General features: G+C 42.7%; 1 protein-coding gene across 20 annotated transcripts in view; it reads right to left on the bottom strand.

The window, feature by feature from the left end:
• Positions 1-25,698, bottom strand: part of PACRG (parkin coregulated) — a 588,369-nt gene that overhangs the window by 413,070 nt on the left and 149,601 nt on the right. Inside the window, exon 3 of one of the 20 annotated variants that reach the window (XM_011535471.3) lies at positions 6,740-9,576. The exons of the other annotated variants lie outside the window; for them this stretch is intronic. Coding sequence (XP_011533773.1) covers positions 9,349-9,576 — 228 coding nt within the window. The 3' untranslated portion in view covers positions 6,740-9,348. Of the gene's footprint in view, positions 1-6,739; positions 9,577-25,698 lie in introns of those variants that run through there. 20 annotated transcript variants of the gene reach the window in all.

The following is a 25,698-nucleotide window of genomic DNA, read 5'->3' as shown; positions in this document are numbered from 1 at the left end:
GAAATTTCTGCAGTCATTCATAGAAAGTAAACTATAGTATTTTAAGGCTACTTAAAGGTATATCATCAGCCATATATTTAAGACAAAACAGTAAAAGGTTTACAAGCCACTCAAATTACTCTTTAGAGCATCCAAATGGATTGCTTCCTACTTAACAGTTATTTTCTTTGTAAATGCAAAGCTATAATCACATGTAAAACACTGATCATGCATATGTAGAATAAACATAATACATTTCTAAAATATTCTGAAAAGATCTTCAAAATGTCAGAACCCATACTTATCACATTTGCAAAGGCTGAAATATTTAGCATGCAACGTGTGAAACCATAGAGTAAGAATCTTCTTGTCAAAACAAACAAAAAACGATTAAGAAGAAGAGATTTGGTATTGTAATCTGCATGTACGCATGGACACACACAGGCCACATTCCCATCAGGCAATACGCCTGGGCATTGTTCTTTACTATGCCCAACACAGCCAATATATCCAATAGGCATTTGTCACCAAGTAATGACCTTGGAAGGAACTGTAATTACCTTAGCGATCCTGCCATTGTGGCAAATATTTTTTTGGTGCACTCTTTTATAATTATTTTCAGAGCTTTTAACTTGTTCTTTCAAATTAGTGGAGGTACATCTTTACCCGCTAGGAATGGATTTAAAGCAGAAGTTTTTTAAACTGAAATCTAACAAATAAAGTGTTTAACAAATTTGCACAACTTCCTGTTACATGACTCTCCAGGAAATTCTAGAATAAGCACTTTAAAGACTCCCTGAGCAAAGGCGGTGCCACAGGATTTGAATACGTTGTTTTTGAGGTTGTTGATCTCTATCTCATTTTTAAATTTAAAAACTGTAAGTGTTTAGCTTACTCTTTGAAAACAAGTATTAGGATACAGCTAAACAATCGAGTCCATTTTCCTAGTAACCTCACCTTTATCTATGTATCATCCTGGAACAGTACATGCCTTAGAGAAAGTCACTGCACCCAACTTCTAAGAGACAATCAGGATTGAAAGAAACCTTAAAAGCCACTTATTACAAGCAGCTATGAATCTCCTTTACATCATCTCTTCCCAGAAGCTACCTGTCTATTTGGGAAAAACTGTAGTAAGAGGCTCATCACCTTCCCAAAAAGGCTATTACATCTTTGAACACTCTACCTGGTAGGAAGTTCTTCCTTAAATTGCACCAATATATACCTGCTTCGGCTCCCACTCTTAGTCGGTTCCATCTCCTAGAGCCGATGTAGCCCAGGGTAAATCCCTCTTCTTTATGACAGTCCTCTAAATACCAGAAAATGGATGTCTTATCTCTCCTGGTCTTTTATGTGCCAGGTTAAATTGTTTGTATTATGTATCTGTATATTATATATTCATTCATTTGATTAAAAATTAATGAGACTATAATACTCACCAAGGCTATGTTCTAATCATGAGAGATGCTGAAGCAAATAAGATAGACGGGATGCGTAGTTGAAGAATTCTAGTCAGGGAGATAGAGTATGAGCAAACAAAAAGATACTTTCAGCTCATGATAAGTCTTTTGAATAAAATAAACAAGGTAATAGAACTGAGGAAAATCAAGGGTTTAAAAACAGGCTCTCAGGAGATGCAACATTTGAGCCAAATCCGATGGCTGAGAAGGAGCCAGCCACAGGAAAGGCGCTGGGGCAGAAAGAAAAGCAAACAGCAAGTCCCGGAGGCAGCAGAGCGCTTGGCACGCTTGGGGGATGGCGGGGAAGCCGGTGTGTTTGGAGCCTGAGGAATAAGAAAGACGGCAAGAGATGAGCTTAGAGTGGCAGCTCGGGGGCCCTCACACCAGCCAAGGAGTGAGGAAAGAGGAAATGCAGAGAAAGAGATGCCGTGGAAGCCAAAAGAAGTTTGAAGAAAGAATGGGCCATGGTTCCAAATGCTCTTCCTGCAGGTGGTAAGATTGTTCACATGAGACTATCTGAAGTATCCATAGACCCATACATTCTCATTGAAACGTAAGTTCATTGAAGACGGGAGTTGAGTCTTGCACGCTATCACGTCTCCTTGTAGGAATCACCTAGGAATCACAGGTTGAAGAAGTGAGGGTAGAATGGGGACGGATATGGAAAGTTTGAGGCAAGAAGAGATGGAGTAAAATTGATGTCTCAGGGCGAGGGAACGTCGGCCTCTGTAAGCAGAGGCCAGCCCTGCCAGGTCCTGCTGCGTGACATCCGTGAGCATTGTGAGTGCATATGTGCGTGTTGGTTCCTTTACCGATCCTCCCTGGATACCAGCGCATCAGTTCTCGAGGGTGCATTACGATGTTCCGGCCTGACCATGCTCTGATACCAGAGCATCAGTTCTCGAGGGAGCATTACGATGTTCCGGTCTGACCATAAGGAACTGGCTCTCTCTCCCCCGCCCTTCCCCACAGCCAGACCCTTTTGCTCCCTGCAGCTCCCTGACCTTCCCCTCATCCTCTGCATGCACAGCGGTGACGGTGACGGGTGCAGACCCAAAGCCAGGAGTCCTGGCCTTCCCTCTTCCTTGCGCTCAGACCTGGAACAGGTTATTTCATTTCCAGCTTCAGTTTCCTCTCCTGTAAGATGGGGCTAATGAAAGTAAATACCTCAATAAACGTAAGCTGCTTTTTCTTATCCTCCCCGGGGCAACAAGGTTTCACAATGTGAATATCTTAATATTACTCGTATCCAGTGATTTCTTGCCATGCCAAGTGACTCCTGTAGCTCAGGCCCTCATTACATTTCATCTGCATATTGTCTTCTCAGTGTTTAGGGCTCTAAAGCTCTCAGCCTCACCCTGGCTGGGAGGAAGACCTTCCTTACAGAGAGGACGGCAGGAGCCAGGGCAGAGGTGAAGAGAGGATGGAAGGACAGCTTCCTGCCCGGTGCTTCCCGAATGCCTACCTGCACACAGTCCTCAGTGGGGGTGAATAAAACACAAACTCACTCAGAAGGTCCGGCACGGGCTTGGAGATCTTGCAATTTTGACAGCTCCTAGGTGGTGCCGAAGCGGTAGCCACACAGATCCTAGAAAGGTGAGACGTCCTCTGGGCCCTGACTCATTCCTGGGAGGCTGCTTTCCCCCCGTGGTTTCTGGTTGTTACCAAGCCTCATCTATGCCAGCTCTCCTGTCTTCACACTGCCTGGTGAGAGTGTACTGCATCTCCCTCTAACCTCCTCTTTCTCCCCTGGCACACCACCTGGCCACTACCAGCAAATTGTCATTAATTTTCAAAAATTTACACAGGGCTGTGACAGCCAAAGAATTGCAAAACCCCTCAGCACACAAAAAGAAGTATCTAGAGACTTACTCAAGCCCTCATCTCCCAGAGTTGGTGTACTACAATATAACCTTGATAGCTCTTTGTCCTAGGATATAACCACCCTCGGAATTAAACAGGTATTTATATTTAACACCTGGTGAAATTTAAACTCACTTTCTTTGGTTTATAAGTGTTCATATTAGACATCAGTTAAATAATGTGTCTAGATACTAAATAATGAAATAGGGACATTACCCAAACTTCTATTTTCCCTGTAATATTTTATCAAGATTTGGTGGATTTAGACAGTAATTCCAAATCTCTGAAACAAAACAAAATTTTAATCACAATTTTTAGTTCAAAATTACTTTAGGCATCAATAAAGTAAAACGAAGACCATAACGATAATAGCTAATATTTATTGTGTGCTTCCTAAGTGACAGACACTCTTTAAGTCCTGTATTTGTGTGAACTCATTTAATTCTTACAATATCCCTGTGAGGTAGGTTCTATGATTATCCTCACTTGCAGATGAAAAAATAGACACAGAGAGATTAAGCAACTTGCCCAAGGTCACACAGCTGATAACAGATAGATCCAGGATTGAACTCAGGGAATATCGCTCCAGAGCCTGTGTTCATAATCACCACAGCACTTCCATTGTGTGAAAATTTCTGAAAGGCTATATGTATTTAGGCATTATTTTTCCTTTACTAAAATATTTTACCATAACAATATCCAGTCCTGTGGTGCATTCCGGTAGACAAGGTATATTCTTACATAGAATCTCACTTCAGTGTAAAGGCTGGTGCGCGCAGAGACTCAGGCTGCCCCAGTCTCTCAGGACATACTCAAGGAGTTCAACCTACGCTTGGGACTCTTCAGTGCTTCTTCCACTACAGCAACCCACTCAGCAGAGAGGAGATTCCGCTTAGCACCATCTGTCTTCATTATCTGTGAGCAGCTCCACACTGTGCTCGCGGCTGAGGCTACACTGGTGAAGAACAGACAGGCCCTATCCTGTAGCTGCCTACAGTTCAGTGGTCCTACTTTCATCAGAAACCTAGTCTTAGGAGGGCAAAACTTCACTCTCTTTCCAGAACGTTCTGCACTGCTTCTCCTGGAGAGTTGGGAAAGTGTCTGTGAATGTAGACATGGACAGGGGAACGTGGAGCTAGCTTCAGGGCTCTTCCTGCCTCTGCAGATTCCTTCACATCAGGGTGACCACCTCGTTCTGGCTTCCATGGGACTCCCCCATTGCAGCATGAAAGCCCTGAGTGCCCTGCCTCCCGCAGAAGCACCAGCCTTGACGACGCATCCCAGAATGGTCCAGGGCTAAACCCTTTCTGCAGCCTGAAGCTTATAGGACCAGAAGTCCGTGCATGCCAACAAACTATACACCCCACTCACTAATACAGCACTGGTGCTCAGCGTGAAATGAAGAAATTCCCTGATAACAGATACACAGAATAGTTGAAGGTAAGACCCTAAATGGCTACAGACCTCTCCAGCACCTCAGTGTAACGTTACCAAGATGGCAACCAGAAGCGATTATCAAATGAAACCACATCCTTTGCATTTAATGGAACATAGGTGTGTAAATCTTGGTATGAACAGCTTTTCTTACGTATACACATTCATTTCTGGATAAATTCACTGTCTACTCCCTGGAGGAATAAATCTCTATACCAGCTGGGATCGCATTACCTCACCTATCAATGAGACTTCAGTTCTGGAAAGAACGCATCAGGCACAGGTACTTGATGAGTGCAAATTCCTCAGGCTTGAGGCTTGCACAATTGGGGGTGCTCTTTGAAAAAAGAATACGAAACTATGACTATCATTTTATAAAGAAAAAAGCAGAAAGATAATCCAGTCTTTCCAGCAGCATAGTTGATCTAAATTTCTCTTTTAGTACTGAAGTTTGAAAAAGTTACTTTCAGCTTCATGACTTGTTGTTGGTTATATCATGCACATTTTTTGGGGAATTCCAAATTTCTCTCACATGCAAGCAATAAGAATACTAGGTTTTTCAAGTTTTGTTGCCCAGGAACTAATCTTAAACTCTCTTTGAATTGCTGACACTCATTAACAAGTTTATCGTTAGTTCCTTGTTGTAGGGGCTCATTGGCAGATTAGATCAGATTATATTCATTGATGTCAGAACTTTTGTCAAGGAAGCAAGAAATTCAAGTATTTTCCCAATGGGTTCGTATGCACCACTTCTCTTCATTAATTAAGTTGTCTAATAACCTGAGAGCCTATTCATTACTTCTATTTAAAATGTATTTCCTTCTCATAATAAATTATTGGTTTTGGAATGACACATGTGCTGTTTGGACCTGCCAGATGGCTTTGAAACAAAATAATCAAATATACTAAGACCTGTTCCAATATATTAAAAGGCATAAGACATTCACCTTCACACACAGACCGCTTGCTTACTAAATTGCTACAGATTGTGTCATACAAAGGAAAAAATTCTGATACATGTTTCATATAATTCACATGAAAAAATAAATGAACACATGGATACGTTTATAATATACCCTGCATTATTGATGAGAACACAACCTTCCTATCATAGTTTTCCCAGGTAGCCTATACATTTTATAATTCTTACACATCCAAGATTTTACCACGGATTTGCCTGTGACTCCAGACATTTCCAATCTTGTTTCTCCTCTACCACCCTCGTGGGTCTGCTGCCAGCACCGTGGGATGCGTTCTTACGGAGAAATTATCCCTGGACCTTCACATAATAACTCCTGGTAAGTCAGCACAGTCCGCAGTAAGCGTGAACCACAAAATGTGTCATTCTAAACTCATACTCAATGTCTTTCCAAATCAATGTTCCCCCAGCTAGATCCCGAAGCTGCCAAGCCCCACTCCAATTCCTCTAAACAGCAGGAGAATGTGCTGGAGTGAAGTCAGGGTAGAAAGAGGCAGCAGTAACAAAGGACTGTGGCCAAACGATCTCACGTTTGTGAATTTTACAAGAACACATGGCCATGTGACCACCCTGCCTAGGCCCCTCTCAGGGCTGAGGAAGGTGTGGTGGCAATCAGTGATCCTTTCGGCTTCATGGTCAATCCTTCTCTACACAGGCCTGATCTAAGGCTGCTGGGAGCAATCAAGCTTTTGATGACTATTTTTTTAATACACTCTGTAGAATCTGTGTTGATCATGAACAATATTATTCTGTAAAAGAAGAAAAAAGCCTGGCTGAAACATTCAGCTATCTTCACAGTAAACACTACAAAGAAAAAGTTACAAATAATAGAAACTGTTCGACTTGGGCAAAGGGAGCAGTGAATTCACCGAGGAGGTGACCAGAACACCAGCAGTGTAAAGTAAATGTTCTTAGAGCTTGTGGTATCCTGTGAGTAATAATCAGATAACTCCAATTAAGACTGTTGGATGCTCTCTGTGCAGTTATTGCTAAGGTTTCAGACATAAGTAAATTGCTATTCATATGTAAAAAGTATTGCAGGTTTTATTTTCAAATTGTACAGGTCTTAAACCAACATATTTGGAGAGATTAAACAAACAACTCAACACTGACTTGTTTAGTGTTAGGCATTACTGTCAAGATCGGGCTGGGTGAAGAAGGTATGCTTTCATAAGAAACCGTTAAAACATACAAAGAATTTAAGTAATAGCCCCATTTGATACAAAGTAAAGATTAAGAAATGTTAGACCATTAGTTAACATTCCCTATATTTTGATAACCTTGAAATTCACAGAATGGTACAAAGGCCATGAGCTTTGGGTGAAAGATCACAGATAGACAGTTATGCTGGGTAGTTGTAATATTTTGCTTTTATTATTAGGAATTATCACCTGAAATATAGTATTCATTCATTTGAAGTTGTATTTTTTTTTTTTTTTTTTTTGAGAGAGAGGGTCTCACTCTGTCACCCAGACTGGAGTGCGGTGGCACGAACACTGCTCACTGCAGCCCTGACCTCCTGGGCTCAAGCCATCTTCCCTTCTCAGCCTCCAGAGTAGCTGAGATCACAGTCGCATGCCACCACACATGGCTAAATTTTTTTTTGGGGGCGGGGGGGTAGAGACGGGGATCTCACCATGTTGCCCAGGCAGGTGAAGTTGTATTTTATAATTACCTAAAAGTTATAGTTTATTTGGTTTGATGGGGTAGCTTATTTATTTTTAATCTTCAATGTAGTAGAATGACTTTTTTTGGTGTTTTTGTCAGCATTATAATCTTCAGTGTTCTTAATGAACACTTTCATTAAGTTTAATAAATGCCTTTAGCAACAATAATATATGCCAACAAGAATCATGACAAATTTCTACCCAACTCGTTGTTACATTTCTGATTCTGTTTCAATGAAAATGTTCTCTCTAAAAATGCACACTATGCAAAGCTGGCATAATTCCTTCCACAAGCGTGTTTCACACAGCAATGAACAGAAAGAGTTCCAAATCAACAAAAGGAAACCTAATTATAACACGTTCATCCAGAGGCTCTACCATTTTTTTAAAAATTGCATAATAACATGCAATCCATGTCACCTTAGAATATCGAGAAGCCTTGCAGGCCACAGGCATTGGCCTGATTTTCATTTGTAGACAGTCAGGCAGGCTCGGCGTGCACCCAAATAGAGCTCTTTTTCAAAACCTGACTGCCTTTTTTCATCCCTCAGTGATTACAATCTCTTTCCCAATTTTGTGTTATTTTTGGCCCCATATAATTTGGTGATCAAATAATGATACAATGATCAAATGATCACATAATGATACAAAAGACCATTATATCTTAGTCAACTTGGTCTTACTTTTGCAACCAAACTATAATTTTTTAGAGAGCAAGACATGTTTTATATTTATCAGCATTTTTCCATCTGTCTAACCTGGAATCAAGTCGTATAATCAAGAAATACTTGTTGGATTAAGGCCTGTAATTTGGTGCTCCATGCAAATGCTGTTCCAGATCATGGTTCTGGGCTTGAGGGAGGCTAGTGTAGAAATATTATCATATTCATCAGCAGTTTTAGTCATGGGAAGGACGTGTGTCCCACTCCAGGTCTCAGACTACTCCCAGTCAGCATTTGTGCAAGGCCAAGCAACAGCAGCTCAGCAAAACCAGAATGAAAAAGGACAATGGTGCGCCGAGCTTGGGTCCCTTGCTGTGGTGTGCCTTTGTTACTGCCATTCACTGTCATTTCTTTACGTCCCAAGGTATGAATGACTGAGTTCGTGATTGATTGTGCCACTAAGAGTGAGTCTGGGGCAATGCTACCATCCCTGACAACTCTCGCTGGTGAGTGGAGGCTGACTTGCTTGCCTTCCAGGGCAATACCATTGATTACTTCATTTGAAGTCAGGGACAGATTCCATGCCATCTTTCTAACTGGGTGATTCCCATCATATCTGACTGCCCACAGGGTGAGGGTAAGCACGGCGGCTCTGTTTTCGATCTGCATAGCCGTCGGAGTGCTGCACGGTCTATCGATGGTGTCGACTTCCATTCTCAAGAGAATCCATAAGGTGTAAGGGGAAAGGAAAGCACGTTTTGGGGAAGAAAAGCAACTTAGTACCTGACTCCCTCCCATACAAGGAGTGTAGATCTGGGGCACGCGTGGTGCCTCTGAAAACAGAGTGTGGGTTACAATTGCTGGCACCCCCAAGTTGGGCTTCCTTGACTGTTGGGACCAGTGTGAACTGAGAAGTGCACTTTGACAATCACTACAATGTAGCCTCCTGATCTGCTGGTAAAACGCACCGTTTCCAGTTCAGTTTGAGCAACTGGGTGAAGTCCTTCTCGGCTTTGGAGAGACTGTTTGAGAGCCATCCATTTACCCTGCCCTGTCTGTCCACACTGCCAGTCGAGCCGAGGCCCTCCCCTGCTGTTTCCAAAAATTTCTCGGTAAGTTAAGGGCAATGGCAGTCCAGCTGTGTTCAGAGCTGCCTGGTGACGATGTGAGAGCCAGCAGTCAGTTAAGGTGCTTGTAATAGTTTGGGTGAGCGGCACCAAGTTATTTTCCTTCACAAGGAAGACAGACACCAGGGATGACAGTAAAGGAAAAAGGTCATTCATAGCCCTCACCCCGCTTACCTCTTAGTGGAGGTAGAGGGGTGTGGGCCGAGGCTCCTGAGGCTGACGTGGTTCTCCGGGATGTGGGCCGAGGCTCCTGAGGCTGAGGTGGTTCTTCTCCGGGGTGTGGGCCGAGGCTCTTGAGGCTGAGGTGGTTCTTCTCTGGGGTGTGGGCCGAGGCTCCTGAGGCTGAGGTGGTTCTCTGGGGTGTGGGCCGAGGCTCCTGAGGCTGAGGTGGTTCTTCTCCCTCCACTGGAATAAAATTAGTGTGCCCTATGTCAGTGGCTGGAGCTTTACTTTGCTCCCCATGCCCCTGCTCACTCCCGACTTTCCATCTGGACAGTCAGGTGCAAGAGGCACAGAGGATTTTAATAAAGTCTACAGAGGCCTGTCACGGCCACCATTTTGGCCTGTGTGAACCACTGTAGGGGGGTCAGGGGGCGGAGCTCTCAGCCAGTGGTCCCTGTCCCACCTATCTCAGTCCATGGCAATGCGGCATGAGCATCCAGGTGGTCGCATCAGAATTAGACTAGAACGCGCTGGGCTCACGGGGGTGCACTAACCACGTGGGCCTGGGGGAGTTGTTAGGGTAAAGAGAGAAGCCTCATGTCCAGGAATGATCAGGAAAGGTTATCAAATTTTCAAAATAGATCTAGATGATTCCTTGCCCCTTCATTCTGGTCATTACTCAAGAAGCAGCCAAGAGAAGATGGTCCCTTTCTGGAACAGCTACATTCAGTGAACAACGTGTCTTAGTCAAGCGTGTGACCAGGAGGAGACCAAAGTCAGATGTCTTTGAGTCAGTTTTTGAAGAGACTGATCCAGTGCTCAACAATGCCTGGTGCCTGTGGATGGCAATGGCATGGAAGGTCATCTGTCCACTCCTGAGTGGTTTCCTTGACAAAAGGTGTTCCATTGTCAGACTGCAAACAGAAAGTAAGAACCAAGCGGACTGGTGGTGTGGCTGAAGTTGGCTGACCAGACTGGGACAGTAACAACATAGCCTGGAACAGTGTCAGCCCTGAGTGGAGGTCAGGGGTCCAACGTAGTCAGTCTTCCAGGAGCAGGGGGGGCCTTGCCCAGGGAAGTGTGGCCTCCTGAGACACCAACTGAAACAGAAGATAACCGGACTATAAAACACCTGCATGCAGTGAGTGGCAGCTCTGTGTCAGAAACTGGGTTTCCTTTGTGCTCATGTTGTGATGGGGGATGTGCTGCAATGCCCAGTATGAAGGTAAACTCAGGCAGCCTGGTGGTTATGTGGCCAGTGCCATCTGGATCAGCAGCTCATTCCAGTTGGTCTCATCGAAACAGGTCCACACTGTGGGCTTGTACCTGAGTGACCCACATGGTTCCATGCATGATTTGTTTCCATGGTCTACAGCCCCCCAAAGAGGTGCCTTTTATCTGCTTGTCTGGTTTTTTCAGGTGGCAAACCAAATAGCTAGGCCATTGGCAACAGCCTAAGAGTTGGGAAGAATGTAACAGGGATTACCAAGGGAAGTAGCAGTTATAGCTGAGAATGGCCTTGAGTTCTGCCCACTGGGTGGAGAATCAGGTCCATCTTTGGCCCTGTCTCATTGGAGCTGAGATGGAATGGCTGCAGCAAGCCAGAGAGCACTCCCAGGTCTCAGCTCAGCCAAATCATCACTGAACCAGGCCCAGGCATTTAGGGAACTTCTATGAATTGTGGGTCCCACTGAGCACCAGCTTGCTTCAGGTGCATGAGGGAGGGATAAATTTCCTGCTCTTTAGAGCCAACCTTCCCTAAGGGTTTTCCTTCTACTTAGTGCCTCAACTTCCCCTTCTCAAGATCACTTGGATAAGGGAAAACTGCTGTCTCTCTGCACTGCCTGACTGCAATAGCATTGCAGTTGAAATGAATAATGGATAGCTGCTAACTTTCCATGTAAAGTGCAGTGCTGCTGGGGTCAGACTGGGTGTGTTCCTGGATATACCGTGTCCATTTCACAAGCAAGGCTTGCCGGGCTCTTCCTGTCCTTTAGTCGTTAAACCTAAGCTGGCTCACCCCAAATACAAGTATCGGACCACGTATGAGCATCACAAGGCTTTCCTGGAGCAGGCACTCAGCTTAGCAAGACCCCATCATAAGCTGATGGCTGCTTTGCAAAAGGATGTAGCTGATGGCCCGGTCAGGGAGCACAAGACCTCGAGGGGTGCAGCTGGGTGGAAGCTGCCTCCCTTTCTGGGCTCCTATCATTAAAACCATCAGCCACAGAGACTTGAAGCTCAAGGGGGTCGTGAAGGTTACCAGGCCTCCAGGGTAGAGCATACCTCATTGCCTGCTGGACGGCTTTCAACAGTTTCCACCCTGGGGTCCTACCCCAGCATGCTGATTCACAGGGTATGTGATATAAAGACTGAGGAGAATGCCCACGTGGGGCACATGCTGTTCCTATGACCCAAAGAATCAGGTACAGTGCGGGGTCTCCTTTCTGGCAGGAGGTGGTACAAAGAGGCAGAAGTATTTCCTTCTCTAAGTGACCCTGAGGAGGGGAAGCTAAGGCGCTGAGTGTGAGCGAAACCATTAGGAGGGGCTGGCTCTAGAGCAGTGAGGGCCTGGAGGCCAAGTTTGGGCTGGAAAACAGTTTTGATTGTGGTGAAGGTACATAAGAGTAGGTAAATGCTGATGGGAAAACACTAGAACAAACTTTCTTTTTTTAATGGAGCATTTGAAGATCTGGAGAAAAAAACAGAAAATTTCTTAATGCAGCTGGTCAGTATTTACTTAGGATTAGAATCCAGAGAGGATGGTTTCATCATATCATATCATAAGGTTTCTTCCTTAGATTAAAAAAAAGTATACATCCAAGAGGCATAAACACATTTTATCACTTAAATCTTTTTTGCTTTAACTTGTTTTTGAGGACCAGTAGAAAGGTAGAAAGAACCCATGGGAAGGGTTCATCACTTGAGTCTCAAAACTAGGCTGCATTTTATGTTCAATAACAAATGGCAATTGATGGCAATAGTCTCTCAATGTAATACATTTTAATCTCCCAGTTTAACTGGCCTGAGTTCTTAATAACTAGTCATTTCTTTCTAAATTACCTGCCAATTTTCCAGATGTGCTCAGACCTTTCTAATCGATTTGACATAGTTTATTTCAGGTTATGAGTTACACATCACCATTACAATGTCTGTTGACTCATTCAGCTCTTTTGCAGCATGCAGTAACTTACAGGAGATTGTGCTAAAATGTGTAGTAACTAAGCTCTGCTGGTGCTTTATGCTGTACCTCAAAATAAGGTAGCTTCCAATATCTTCATTTAATGAGTATGAAGTATGTAAGTGCATATCGAAGAGTCTTGGAAGTAACTGAAATGGAAAATAACCGGACTATAAAACTCAGTTAATATATTTGGTAGATGCTTATATAAGTAGAAGCCACATATACAGATTTCTCCAAAATGCTAAAGTCAGCTAAAGACTGTTACTCATATTCAAAACACAAGTATACAAGAGAACACCATGCCATGCTGTATAATCACAGAAGACAGAATGTATTGGTTTACTCTGACTTTAAAAAGTCACTGGAGAGCATTGTTCTGACAAGGCTGATTTAGACAGTAAACAAATCTACTTCCATTATTGTAGAACGGATATCCCTGAGATCTAGGTTAACAAGCTATAAAGTACATTTTTATTGCTCTAAGCAGCAACTCAGAATAGTTTGAAGTAAAACACTTCTATTTTTAAACTACCATAACATTTAAAGCTGGGTTTTCAATTTGTTAACCTATCTCAAAAACTGAATATCATAGCCTGATTAGTGGCAAGAGGCATTCAAAGAAAGATTTTTTTTTAATGGATCAGTGATGTAGAAAATGTGGTATCATCTGAACAGACTTAATATAGAAAGTATATTATAGAATAACATACAGTTCTTCATGACTTTGACCACCTTGATGAATAACAGCCCAAAATATGCATCAAAAGCCTGAGTTATAATGGCTTACTGGGTAAGATGAATACTTGATCCAACCCAGTTTTCTCCCTCTCATAGTGTCAGGATTGTGTTGCTAAAATAATGCTCATTTTTTGACAATTTTACACTTCTCTGTCACAGAGGGATTGAGCCTAATGCCAGAAATTAGCTTAATCACAGAGTTCCAAATCTGATCCCATGGCCGCATGACTGATACCCTGAAATATAAACCTATGCTCTCTTTCCTTGTGAATTCCTGTCAATTCTGACCTTCCTTCCTATTTGGGCAGCAGCTGGGTCTGGTTGCCTCAGGGAAGGGTTTTTCAGGAGAAAATTAAGAGAAAAGAGTCCTGCCTTTTAAATTCCTGGCTATTGGGTTTTCCAAAGAGGAAGGTTGCCTAATGGGAGCCAGGGCCTGTATGAAAATGACTGCTATGGAAATGCTTCTGACCCCTGCAGACCCAGGCAGGGGAGGACCAAGTGTGTCTTCAGAAAGGGACTCTGCTCTGATCGCCTTTTCTCTCCACCTTTCCTGTAAGCTGAGATCAAGGAGTGGAAGTGACATCAGCCTAAGAGCTGAAGGATCTGTAACCTCTGTCCTGGGAAAACCCAGGGAGAGAGAGTCCAAATGTCCTGCCAGCCAGCAGGGCTTGGCAGCAGTTGGAGATGAAATGACTGTGCCTTATCTCCAAGCAGACAAGTCCAAGGTCTCTGAGGATTGCCAAGCCCCAGCAGCAGCCCAGCGATCCTACGGATGCAAGAGGAGGGCAGAGACTAGAGTTTCCTGGAGCTCCAGCAGGAGGCCTCATGTCTTAGGTTGGCACCACGTGCTGAAAGAGCCGCTGGACCCAAATCGACTTTTGTCTGTATGTGAGGGTTGTGGCCAAGACTCCAGGATGGGAAGTGCTCAACTCGGTGATGGCCAGCACGGACATCCCACAGATGAGGATGACACCCCGCAGCCCACCCTCACTGCTACAGAAACCCCCTAGATGAGGATGAGACCACCCCAGCCCACCCTCACCAGTACGGACACCCCAGATGAGGACGAGACCCCGCAGCCCATGCTCACCAGCATATGAGGACACGACGTTCATCTCCTCCTGAGGCTGCTGCAACAAGGCACCATCTTTGGAAGCGGAGAGTAGCCCTCACCACACACTGAACCTGCTGGGAACTTGATCTTGGACTTACCACCCCCAGAACCGGGAGAAATAAATGTTCATTGTTTATAAATTACCCAGTATTTTGTTATAGCAGCACAAGCAGACAAAGACAGTCACCAAGACTGAGGACTGAGCCTCACCCACCCTCAGAGACTGGATGCTGAGTCATGAAGACCAAAGACCGGTCTCTTGCCCAGCCTTTGGGACTGGGCACTCTGCAAACCAGTCTGATGGCTCAACCTAACTCAAGGGAATGTATTTAAGGACGGAGGCAGGGCGAGGTCAAAACTTTCTGGGATTATCTCAAGATTCAAGTTCAATTTAGACAAGAAATGAATAGTTATACTTCTTAAGACTTCATATTGCATCCTGAGATAATTTCACCCTGATATGTTAGTTTTTTCACTCTGAATTTTGGTGGGAAGTTTTACAAGAACGTGTCCACATAAGTATTACTATGGGAATACCTTAACAGCTACAGAAATCACATGCAATACGATACCAAAACATCTGTGGTCACATGAACCAAGGGAGCCCATCTGTGCAGAGCTGTACCCACTATTAATTTTTTCACTAAAATTCCAGAGAATACATTGGAAGTCACCCTTCCATTATCCACACTAGCTGTCTTTCTCTTAATTTGCAAAGATGGAACTATCTGGGAGGAACTTGCTTCAGCCTGGTCATTGCTAAAGAACACACCCACAAGATGGAAAGCAACCATTCAAACATAACTGGGGGCCATGCGCAGTGGCTCACACCTATAATTGCAGCACTTTGGGAGGCCAAGGTGGACAGATCACCTGAGGTAGGGAGTTCAAGACCAGCCTGGCCTTATGATGGTGAGCACATGGTGGTGAGGCCTCATGGTCAAGACAGACATGGTGAAACCCCGTCTCTACTGAATATACAAAAAATTAGCCAGGTGTGGTAGCATGTGCCTGTAATCCCAGCTACTCGGGAGGCTGAGGCAGGAGAATCGCTTGAACCTGAGAGGCAGAGGTTGCAGTGAGCTGAGATCACACCACTGTACTCCAGCCTGGGCAACAGGGTGAGACTCTGTCTCAAAAATAATACTAATAATAATAATAACTGGAGTTGCATAATTATTGTATGGATAACGTCTCTTTTCTCTTAGAAATTATTTAAATTTAAAAAATTAATGATATCTAGAATTTTGGGTTCTTGTTCCTGCATGTTTTCCTCCAGGAAAAAGCAAATGAATGTGTCTAATACTTAGAAGAGATACTGACACACTCTCCTCTAGATTTGTGTAACAAAAATAAGACCTCAAAATCAATTTCATCTCTGTGACATAAAAATAAATGGTCAAAACTTTAGAAAACAGCATAACTTGAAAACTGTAAAAAAAATTCCTTCACTCCAATGAGCCAAATGGCTACAGGAAATGTTTTCTGATTCTATTCCTCATGTTGCTGCTGCCACATCAATGAGAGTCCCACTGGAGGGGGTTAATGAACAGACAGATCTCTGAACTTTCCAGGAGACGCGTGCCATGTGATTGTATGAAGTCATGTAAGATTTCATCAAGTCCACAGGATACATAAGAATGAAACAGGTTTTTGAAAAGGAAAAACCCGGAATAAATGAGGACAGAAGAGTGGCCCAGGAGGAAGGAGATGGATGATGAGAAGGCCAAGGAGGAGAAGGACCTGGCTTTCCCAGTCTGAGAATGACTGGCCAGAGACACTGAAGGAGAGCCACAACAGAGACTTGTCCAGGAAGAGAAGTTAAAAAAGAGCTTGCAAGCCCGGGGGCAATGGCTCATGCCTGTAATCACAGCATTTTGGGAGGCCAAGGCGGGTAGATCATGAGGTCAGGAGTTCAAGATCAGCCTGCACAAAATGGCGAAACCCCATCTTTACTAAAAATACAAAAATTAGTTGGGCATGATAATCCCAGCTACTCAGGAGGCAAATAAATGTAATGTGTGATCTGGACTAGATTCTGCATCAGAAAGAACTTACAACTAATGAAAAATTGGAAAAATTTGAATTTAGAATGACCACCAAATAACAATATTGTAACAATATTAAATTTTCAGAATTTGATAAAGTAACTTTATGTAAAAGAATGTCCTTGGTTTTAGGAAATGCACTCTAAGACAGGGATGAAGGATCATAATGTCTGCAAGTTGCTCTCAAATGATTCAGCAAACAGTAATAATTATTTTATATATATACACACACACACACACACATGCACGTGTGCACGCACACACACACACATGCAAGTCAACTCTCATTATTTGTGGTAAAGTCACCAGGAACACTGAATTAGCCAATACTGCTCCTCAAGGAAATACAGGGTTGGTTCCCAAAAACCTCTGATCACATTTTCATCAACGATCAATACATAATTCAGTTTTATACATGTTTCTGTTCAAAGACACCTTATTTAGGCCAGGCACGGTGGCTCACACCTGTAATCCCAGCACTTTGGGAGGCCGAGGAAGGCAGATGGCTTGAGGTCAGGAGTTCGAGATCAACATGGCCAACATGGTAAAACCTTATCTCTACCAAAAAATACAAAAACTATCCAGGTGTTGTGGCACGCTCCTATAATCCCAGCTACTTGGGAGGCTGAGGCAGGAGAATCGCTTGAACCCAGGTGGCAGAGTTTGCAGTGAGCTAAGGTCGTGCCACTGCACTCCAGCCTGGGCAACAGAGCAAGACTCCATCTCAAAAAATAATTAAAAAAAAAAGAGAAAGAAAGCTCCCAGAAAAAAAAAAAAAGGTTACTCAAAAGGCCAAACTCTGCAGAGCATTGAAAGGAAACCATGTTTTCTTCATGGTTTATAATCCCTGCAGTGTTTTGTGCAAACTTGTACATAGAGGAACCTCTACAAGGGTAAGGAGACCAAAATTTCATGCAGAAAATTATGGTATTATGACGATGGTGGCTTTTTTAATGGGCAAGTGATGTGGGTAACATTGAGCCCACAACTTCACCTCTAAAGTGAAGCAGGGTGCTGAAAAAATGTATATTGAGAGACCCAGAGCAGAGAACTTCTGTCTGTTTAAGTGTAAGTGGCATGGCACAATTTCAGTACGTTACACGGGCTGGGTTCATATTATGCTAATAGATGAGCTTGGGCCCCTGAAATCTTTGTTTGACCTTGCTGGATTTTTAGCGCTGAGACTTTTAGGTTTAGAGGTTTTTAGGTTTATCATTGGGGAGCTGGGAAAATACACATAAATGCCAACCACCATACACAGGCATACATGTATCACTCCACAGAAGAGACGGTGACATGTTAACACTGTTATTTTATATTTCAGGTTCACCATAAACACCATTGTGTTCAAATTTAGTACAAAGCATTTACTCCACATACTGCTTGTAACTAAAATTCATGAAGTAGTCATAAGTTGCTTAATTTTTTTAAAAAAATTTGTTAGGAAATAATTTCATATTTACAAAAATAGTTGAGATAATATCCATATCCCATTCACCCTTTACCCAGATTTACCTACTGTTAACATTTTACCCAATTTGCTTTGTAATTTACTGTCTATATCTATCATTTACACTTGTGTGCATGTATATATGTATTTTTATGCAGACAGTGGACCCTTGAACAACACAAATTTGAACTGCCCTGGTCCACTTATACAAGGATTTTTTTCAATAAACATACTGGAAAATTTCTTGGTGATTTGTTACAGTTTGAAAAAACTTATAGATGAACCTTCTAGCCTAGAAATATTGGGGAAAAAAATAACAAAAAGTGCAGGGTGCAATGGCTCACTCCTGTCATCCCAGCACTTTGGGAGGCCAAGGCAGGCAGATCACTTGAGCCCAGGATTTCAAGGACAGTCTGGGCAACGTGGTGAAACACCATCTCTACAAAAATTAGCCAGGTGTGGTGGCAGGCCCGTAGTCTCAGCTACTTGGGGGACTTAGGCGGGAGGTTGAGGTGGGAGGATCGCTTGAGCCCAGGAGGTCAAGGCTTCGGTAAGCTACGATTGCACATTACACTCCAGCTTGGGTGACAGAGTGAGACCCTGTCTCAAAATAACGAAACAAAACAAAAGTTAAATATGTTATGAATGCATATATGTAGAGAGCAGTCTATGTGTCAATCACCTGCCTATGTTATTGGTGAAACTTTCAGGCAACAGTAGGGTATTAGTAGTTAAATTTTGGGGGACTCAAAAGTTCTATGTGGAATGTGGATTTCTGACTGTGTGCCCCTAACCCCTGCATTGTTCAAGAGTCAACTGTATGTGTGTATGCAGATATATACATACATACACACACACACACACACACACACACACACAGTTTTTGAAAAATCGTTTGATGCCTTCTGAACCACTTGATGTTTGCTCCTGCTGAATATAAATCATATGTACTGGACTTGCCCTGAGACTGGAAAATATTTTAAAAACCGATAAAATTAAAGATGTGATTAAAAAGAGGGTAATAAATATAAAACCACTGTCTAAACTTGTTAACATTGTGAACACTATGTAAATAAGCAGACTGAATGATCCATGCCATGAGAGGAATGAAAGGGGAACTTACATTTATTGGACATTTGTAATGTACCAGATATTTGGTACGTCATCAGCAAATATGTCTTTGTAATTATGTGAAATCACACTTTAAAAATCTAATAAATTAATTAGAGGCCAGCTAAATAGGCAGCGGGCCCCAACAAGCTGTGTCATGAGAGCTGAAAGGAAAACTCTTTCCTGGATATTTCATGTGCCAGACAGTTTACGTAACATCAGTAAATATGCCTTTATAATTATGTGAAATCACATTTTTAAAAAAATCTAACAAATTGGTAGTCAGCTAAAAAAAAAAACCTGGTAGTGACAGAATGAAACATAGACTTTAATTCTGATTTTTAATCATTTAAAAATTAGTTTCATTTAGTAAATAATAACTGAATACATATTGTCAGACACTGCTCCAAGGCTGATGATGCAACAGGGAGTGGAACTCGAGGTGCCCCTGCCAGTGAGGGTCAGAGCGCAGAGAGCACAGCTCAAGCCTGGCTGAGGGTTTCCATTGTTTGCTAAGCATTCACACAAATGCTAATGCCCCATCTTCAAAATGATCTAGTCAGGGTTTCTGAAGGTTTGGGAAATAACACTTCAGGGTAAGCCTGCTAAAGTGGGGAAGACGCGAGTGAGCACAATGGAAATAATTCACGAAGGTCAGAAAAGGCTTCCTGGACAGTCGGGTTAGTTTGAAATCCAAAGACATGTTGGTGGGATGGAGTTGGGGGATGCATAGAAATGACCTGGACAAGGCCCTGGATGCAGAGAATGGTTTTCTCCAGGTGTGATGTTCAGAGTCGAGTCTCATCAGAACCCAGCTTGCCTACTCCTCAGGGTCCATACCCAGGAGGTGAGCTTTGTTCACTCAAGGTGACAAATGTAAAGAGCCCCTGAGGTCTACACACTCTTCCTCTTATAATTTTCCCACATGTCCAAGGCATTTTGTAATTCTTACATCCAAGAATTTACCACAGACTTGCCACTGACTCCATCCATCTATAGTCTTGGTAGAGAGAGCCCCTGGGTCTCTGTTCTTGGTGGAGAGCACCCTTGGGTCACTGATCTTGGTGGACGGTGCCCCAGGTCTCTGGTATTGGTGGACAGTGCCTCCGGGTCTCTGGTCATGGTGGAGAGGGCCCCCGGGTCTCTGGTCTTGGTGGAGAGCACCCCAGGGTCTCCAACCTTGGTGGAGAGAGCCCCCTGGATCTGTATTCTTGGTGGAAAGCACCCCACTGTCTCTGGTCTTGGTGGAGAGTGCGCCCCCCCACCCCCAGTCTCTGGTCTTGGTGGAGAGCGCCCCCGGGTCTCTGGTCTTGGTAGAGATCACCCCTTGGTCTCTGTTCTTGGTGGAGAGTGCGCCCCCCCACCCCGAGTCTCTGGTCTTGGTGGAGAGCGCCCCCGGGTCTCTGGTCTTGGTAGAGATCACCCCTTGGTCTCTGTTCTTGGTGGAGAGTGCCCCAGGGTCTCTGTCCTTAGTGGAAGAGTGCCCCCCCCCACCCATCTCTGGTCTTGGTGGAGAGGACCCTGTGGTCTCCGATCTTGGTGGAGAGAGGCCTCAGATCTCTGTTCTTGGTGGAGAGCGCCCCCTGGTCTCTGGTCTTGGTGGAGAGCGCACCCTGCCCCAGTCTCTGGTCTTGGTGGAAAGCACCCCAGGGTCTCTAACCTTGGTGGGGAGAGCCTCCCGGATCTCTGTTCTTTGTGGAGAGCACCCCACTGTCTCTGGTCTTGGTGGAGAGTGCACCCCCCCACCCCCAGTCTCTGGTATTGTTGGAGAGTGTCCCTGGGTCTCTGGTCTTGGTGAAGAATTCCCCCAGGTCTCTGGTCTTGGTGGAGAGCACCCCTGGGTCTCTGGTCTTGGTGGAGAGTGCCCCCGGGTCTCCAGTTTGGTGAAGAGTGCTCCCTGTGTTTCTTCAGCCATGTGAACATCCACAAGTGCACCTCTTTGCAAATCTCTTGAACATGATGATTGGAAACACACTTTAATACCTTATTCACATGTAGTTGCTGGAGCATTGACACTCATCTCTCTGCCCTTCTAATTTAAATTTCCCACCGGATTGGGGACATTAATACAGTTTTAAAAAAATAAACATCTACCTTTTGCGTGGGTGCATGTAGGACTTAGACATGAAAGCTAGGCCTCATTTACAGCCCCAAAGGAAAACAGGTTCATTAAGGAGCAGTCATCATTGAAAGTTTGCTCATTTTGAAGACAACCATCAGGCAGCCCCTGGAGTAAGGCTCTCAGCCAAAACTGCCAGGTCGTTTAAAGTTTATAAACACTTCCAATAGGCAAAATCCAAAGAATGAAGTATATGCACTGAGGCTGGCTGAGCCTGTGGTCCATACACAGGCTCATTCAGTCCAGTTTTATTCCCTGATACCATTGCCAGCATCACTGTTAGCAACTACCAAGACCAGGACAATGACATGCACATCTACAGAAGATCGTGACGATCTGTGTCTTTCTGTAGATGTAAATGTACAGACAGAGCGTGGCTCTGTGCACACATCCAGCACATCTAATGCAGTGCAGCTGCCACGCCCTGAACGATGCACCCCTGGCGCATGCTTTGCTACACAAGGTGGATCTGGCTGGTGTGCAATGTAGCCTTGCCCACGTGCAGCCACAGTCAGATGAAAGCGATGTGTAGTTTTAGGGTATCTCGGAAGATGATTTCAGGTAGGTGCAATTTATTTTTTACTGCTTATTTTTGTAATACGTATGAGGCACAACAGTTTATAGAAATTTAAGATATGTTTTATTCTAAAAGGAATATAAATTTTCATTTTATCTTTTCTAAAGCATTCTTGTTTAATAGTCATGGCTGATCTTACTATATATAACTTAGTGTTGCCTGAAAGATATGAAGCGTTATATTTTTCTATTTTTGTTCACAAATACACAGAACCTTGACTGCATGCCACCATCTACCTCAGATATTCAAAACACTACAAGGAACTCATTCTTCTGCAGTATATTTTGTGATAGGCCCTGTTTTGTTGTTGTTGTTCCTTTGCTCTTTCTATAATAAGCAGAAATACATGCTAGAGTTGCAATACATCTAACAAAGGTCCTAAGTGAATCTATCAAAAACCAATGCCACGTAAGTGATCATTCTCTCATGTAGATTCCAGTGAGGGGCCTGGCAACATCATCCACAAATTCCCAAGTAAGCAACAGTCTTTTATGTGACAGATGTTAAATAAATGTTTGCCATACTGTATTGAAATCCGACATTTCTTACCGTTGCTACATTTTATACAGGGACAACAAACCGAGCTGCAACTAAAGGGCAGAAGATCAGACCTTTCCTCTTTCCAGTACAGGCCTGCTGGCTGAAATTCATTTCCACAGAAGGGGGTGTTGGAGGACCCCCATTTACATGTCTGTTTTCTCCCCTGTGCTCAGCCTCTCTCTGGTTCCAAGGTGTGGTTTGACCTCGACACAGAAGTAAAAGGAGACTGCCCGGTACTTACCACATGCCAGGTGCTCTGCTAAGTACCTAAAAAATATATCCCCTCACACATTCTCACAGATGCTTTTTGAGAGAGGTGTTTTGTAGATATATCAGGAAATCCTTATAGATATACCAGCTACTTCTCCTTGAAGAAGGAGTAACTCCCTCACGTTCCCTGCCCTCTTGAATTCACTGGACAGCCCTGGAAGGCTGCTTGGGCACCCACAGTCAGCCTCATCTCCTGGAAGACTGAAACCTGCTCTCTGTCTTACTCACTGTCCTATCTGCACGGCCAGCTCGGGGCCTGGCCCACAGCAGGTGTTCAATAAATACTTGTTGAAGGAATGAATTAATGAATGAAGCCTCCTATTTACCCTAACCACTGAGTAAAACCTTTGCTAGATTAACTTCTTATGTCCTACATTGGATTGATTTAAAAATCTGTATATGGTACATCTATATCAGTGTAGATGAACAGAATAGATCAGTTTTAGCACCAACTGTCCCCTGCCCCCCTCAATGATTCCTAAACATAAGAGTCTGGGTGTCTAGACAGAGTCATGAATACCAGGCCAACTGGGCCAAAAATCACATGGTGGCAATGTTACTTTTTGCCCAATAGATAATTAACTTTTAAAACTGAATTTCTTGAGCAAGAAGGGGAGTTACATGGATAGTTTTACTGTGTTACCTTTTGTGCTATTTTTTCCCTTCATTAAAGGACGATTTCTATAGAACAGAGAACTATAGACTGTTAATGAAGGTTAAAGTGGGCTATGTCTCTTCGTGCACAATTGGCAATAAAGTATGGATTTTATAATATATTTTACATGAAGCTTGATATTGTTCTTGTGATTTGATAGAGAATTACATGGGGGGTTAATTTTTGAGGACCATCATATAAACTGAGAAGCTTTTTAAAGGCAAGGAAGGCATTTAGACTGTATTGAAACACCATGAGATTCCTCCTTTGTATGCAATTACAATACATATTACAGAAAAGGTAATATTTAGTGAATAAAAATTTAAGTAGTACTGAAATTGTATTATTACATACAAAGAGCCATTCTATAATAGCAATAATATTTCTAGAAGATAAACTAAGAAAAGCAAGACATCTTTAAACTTGTCACCATAGTTATTCACTCCATTCAGATTTAGAATAACATGGGGCTTATGCATATACATTCATCTTAACATACTACAAATCACGGTAAACTACCGCTAGAAACAACATATTGGGGAAATCAGAGGATTTTTAAATTTGTCCCTTATGTGTCAGCTCTATTTCCAAACTCAAAGGCCTAGAACAATCTCAAATTTCCCTAGTACTATTTTTTAAAAGCTTAATGTATAACATGGGTAACCATCTGTTGTTTTGGTCTCCTTTTGTTGGGGGAATGAGCATCAGGTGGCTCTAGTTGGCCATCTTGCTGATGTCACTCTTTGAATCCAAGTAACAATCTCATTATACACAGAGATAGGCAGGCACAGATGAGAAAAAGATTCAGTCTATTCAATATTTGTAACAGCATCAAACACTCTAAAAAAGTAAAATAGATTTTATTTGTTAAAATGTTTCTCATTATTACTTTATTCAAAAAAGAATTCATTATCAAGACAGCTACATTGGTGTGTTTTTTTACTTAGTGAAGAAACATTAAAAATTAAGTTTAAAATAATTTTCTTATTCACATACATGACTTTTAAAAACTGTTGTTATAATTTAATATCTCATTTCTGTGTCATAATGTCAATTTTTAATTATGTTGTAAAAATGTGAATTGTGATATTGCATCTTACACTTTACACTTGCATCTCACACTTACACTTGCATCTTACAAACATTTAAAGTTATTATTCCAATTCCCCTAATATAAAAAAGTCTCAGAATTTTAATCTACTAATATTATTATGCTTTTTGCTCATACTATTTATAATTCACAGGTATATTCTAAATTTAGTATTTACCCAGTTAAGTGAAACTATCTATAACCTTAGGTAAAGCTCCAAAAATAATGTTGTAAGAAATAATTCATAGCACTCAACTTAGTTACCATGGTGACCGTTGCTATCTAATAGTTTGGGGATAGGAACTTGTTCATTGGTAACTATAATTCTATAAAGGGAAAGACCATGAATCTACTTTTTTAATGGAAAGCAAAATCCCTTCTGATATGTTATAGGCATATTGACTCTTCTGGGCAGGACAAGAAGAGGGATGCCATTTCTGAACCAAGGAACGTTGCACTATGTCTTCCCTAAAACATTTCTATCAGATATAAAACATGTCTTATATATTTGGTCCCAGTAAGTCCACATCTGACTGAAGCCTCCTGAATTTTTTTTCCTCTTCTTAAACATTTTTTTATTTTGGAAAATATTTTCCTTTTTTTTTTCTTTTTTTTATTATTATATTTTAAGTTCTGGGATACATGTGCAGAACGTGCAGGTTTGTTACATAGGTATACATGTGTCATGGTGGTTTGCTGCACCCATCAACCCATCATCTACATTAGGTATTTCTCCCAATGCTATCCCTCCCCTAGCCCCCAACCTCCCAACAGGCCCTGGTGTGTGATGTTCTTCTCCCTGTATCCATTTGTTCTCATTGTTCAACTCCCACTTCTGAGTGAGAACATGTGGTGCTTGGTTTTCTGTTCCTGTGTTAGTTTGCTGAGAATGATGGTTTCTGGCTTCATCCATGTCCCTGCAAAGGACATGAACTCATTCTTTTTTATGGCTGCATAGTATTCCACAGTGTATATGTGCCACATTTTCTTTATCTAGTCTATCGCTGATGGGCAGTTGGGTTGGTTCCAAGTCTTTGCTATTGTAAATAGTGCTGCAATAAACTTACGTGTGCATGTGTCTTTATAGTAGAATGATTTATAATTCTTGTGTATATATCCAGTAATGGGATTGCTGGGTCAAATGGTATTTCTGGTTCTAGATCCTTGAGGAATCGCCACACTGTCTTTCACCACAGTTGAACTAATTTACACTCCCACCAACAGTGTAAAAGTGTTCCTATTTCTCCACATCCTCTCCAGCCTCTGTTGTTTCCTGACTTTATTCTAACTGGCGTGGACCCCTTCCTTACACCTTATACAAAAATTAACTCAAGATGGATTAAAGACTTAAATGTAAGACTTAAAACCATAAAATCCCTAGAGGAAAACCTAGGCAATACCATTCAGGACAAAGGTGTGGGCAAAGACTTCATGACTAAAACACCAAAAGCAATGGCAACAAAAGCCAAA

Source organism: Homo sapiens, chromosome 6, assembly GCF_000001405.40.
Source record: "Homo sapiens chromosome 6, GRCh38.p14 Primary Assembly".
Taxonomy (NCBI): domain Eukaryota; kingdom Metazoa; phylum Chordata; class Mammalia; order Primates; family Hominidae; genus Homo; species Homo sapiens.
Note: the sequence above shows the minus strand (reverse complement) of the source record. Positions and strands in the feature narration are given on the sequence as shown.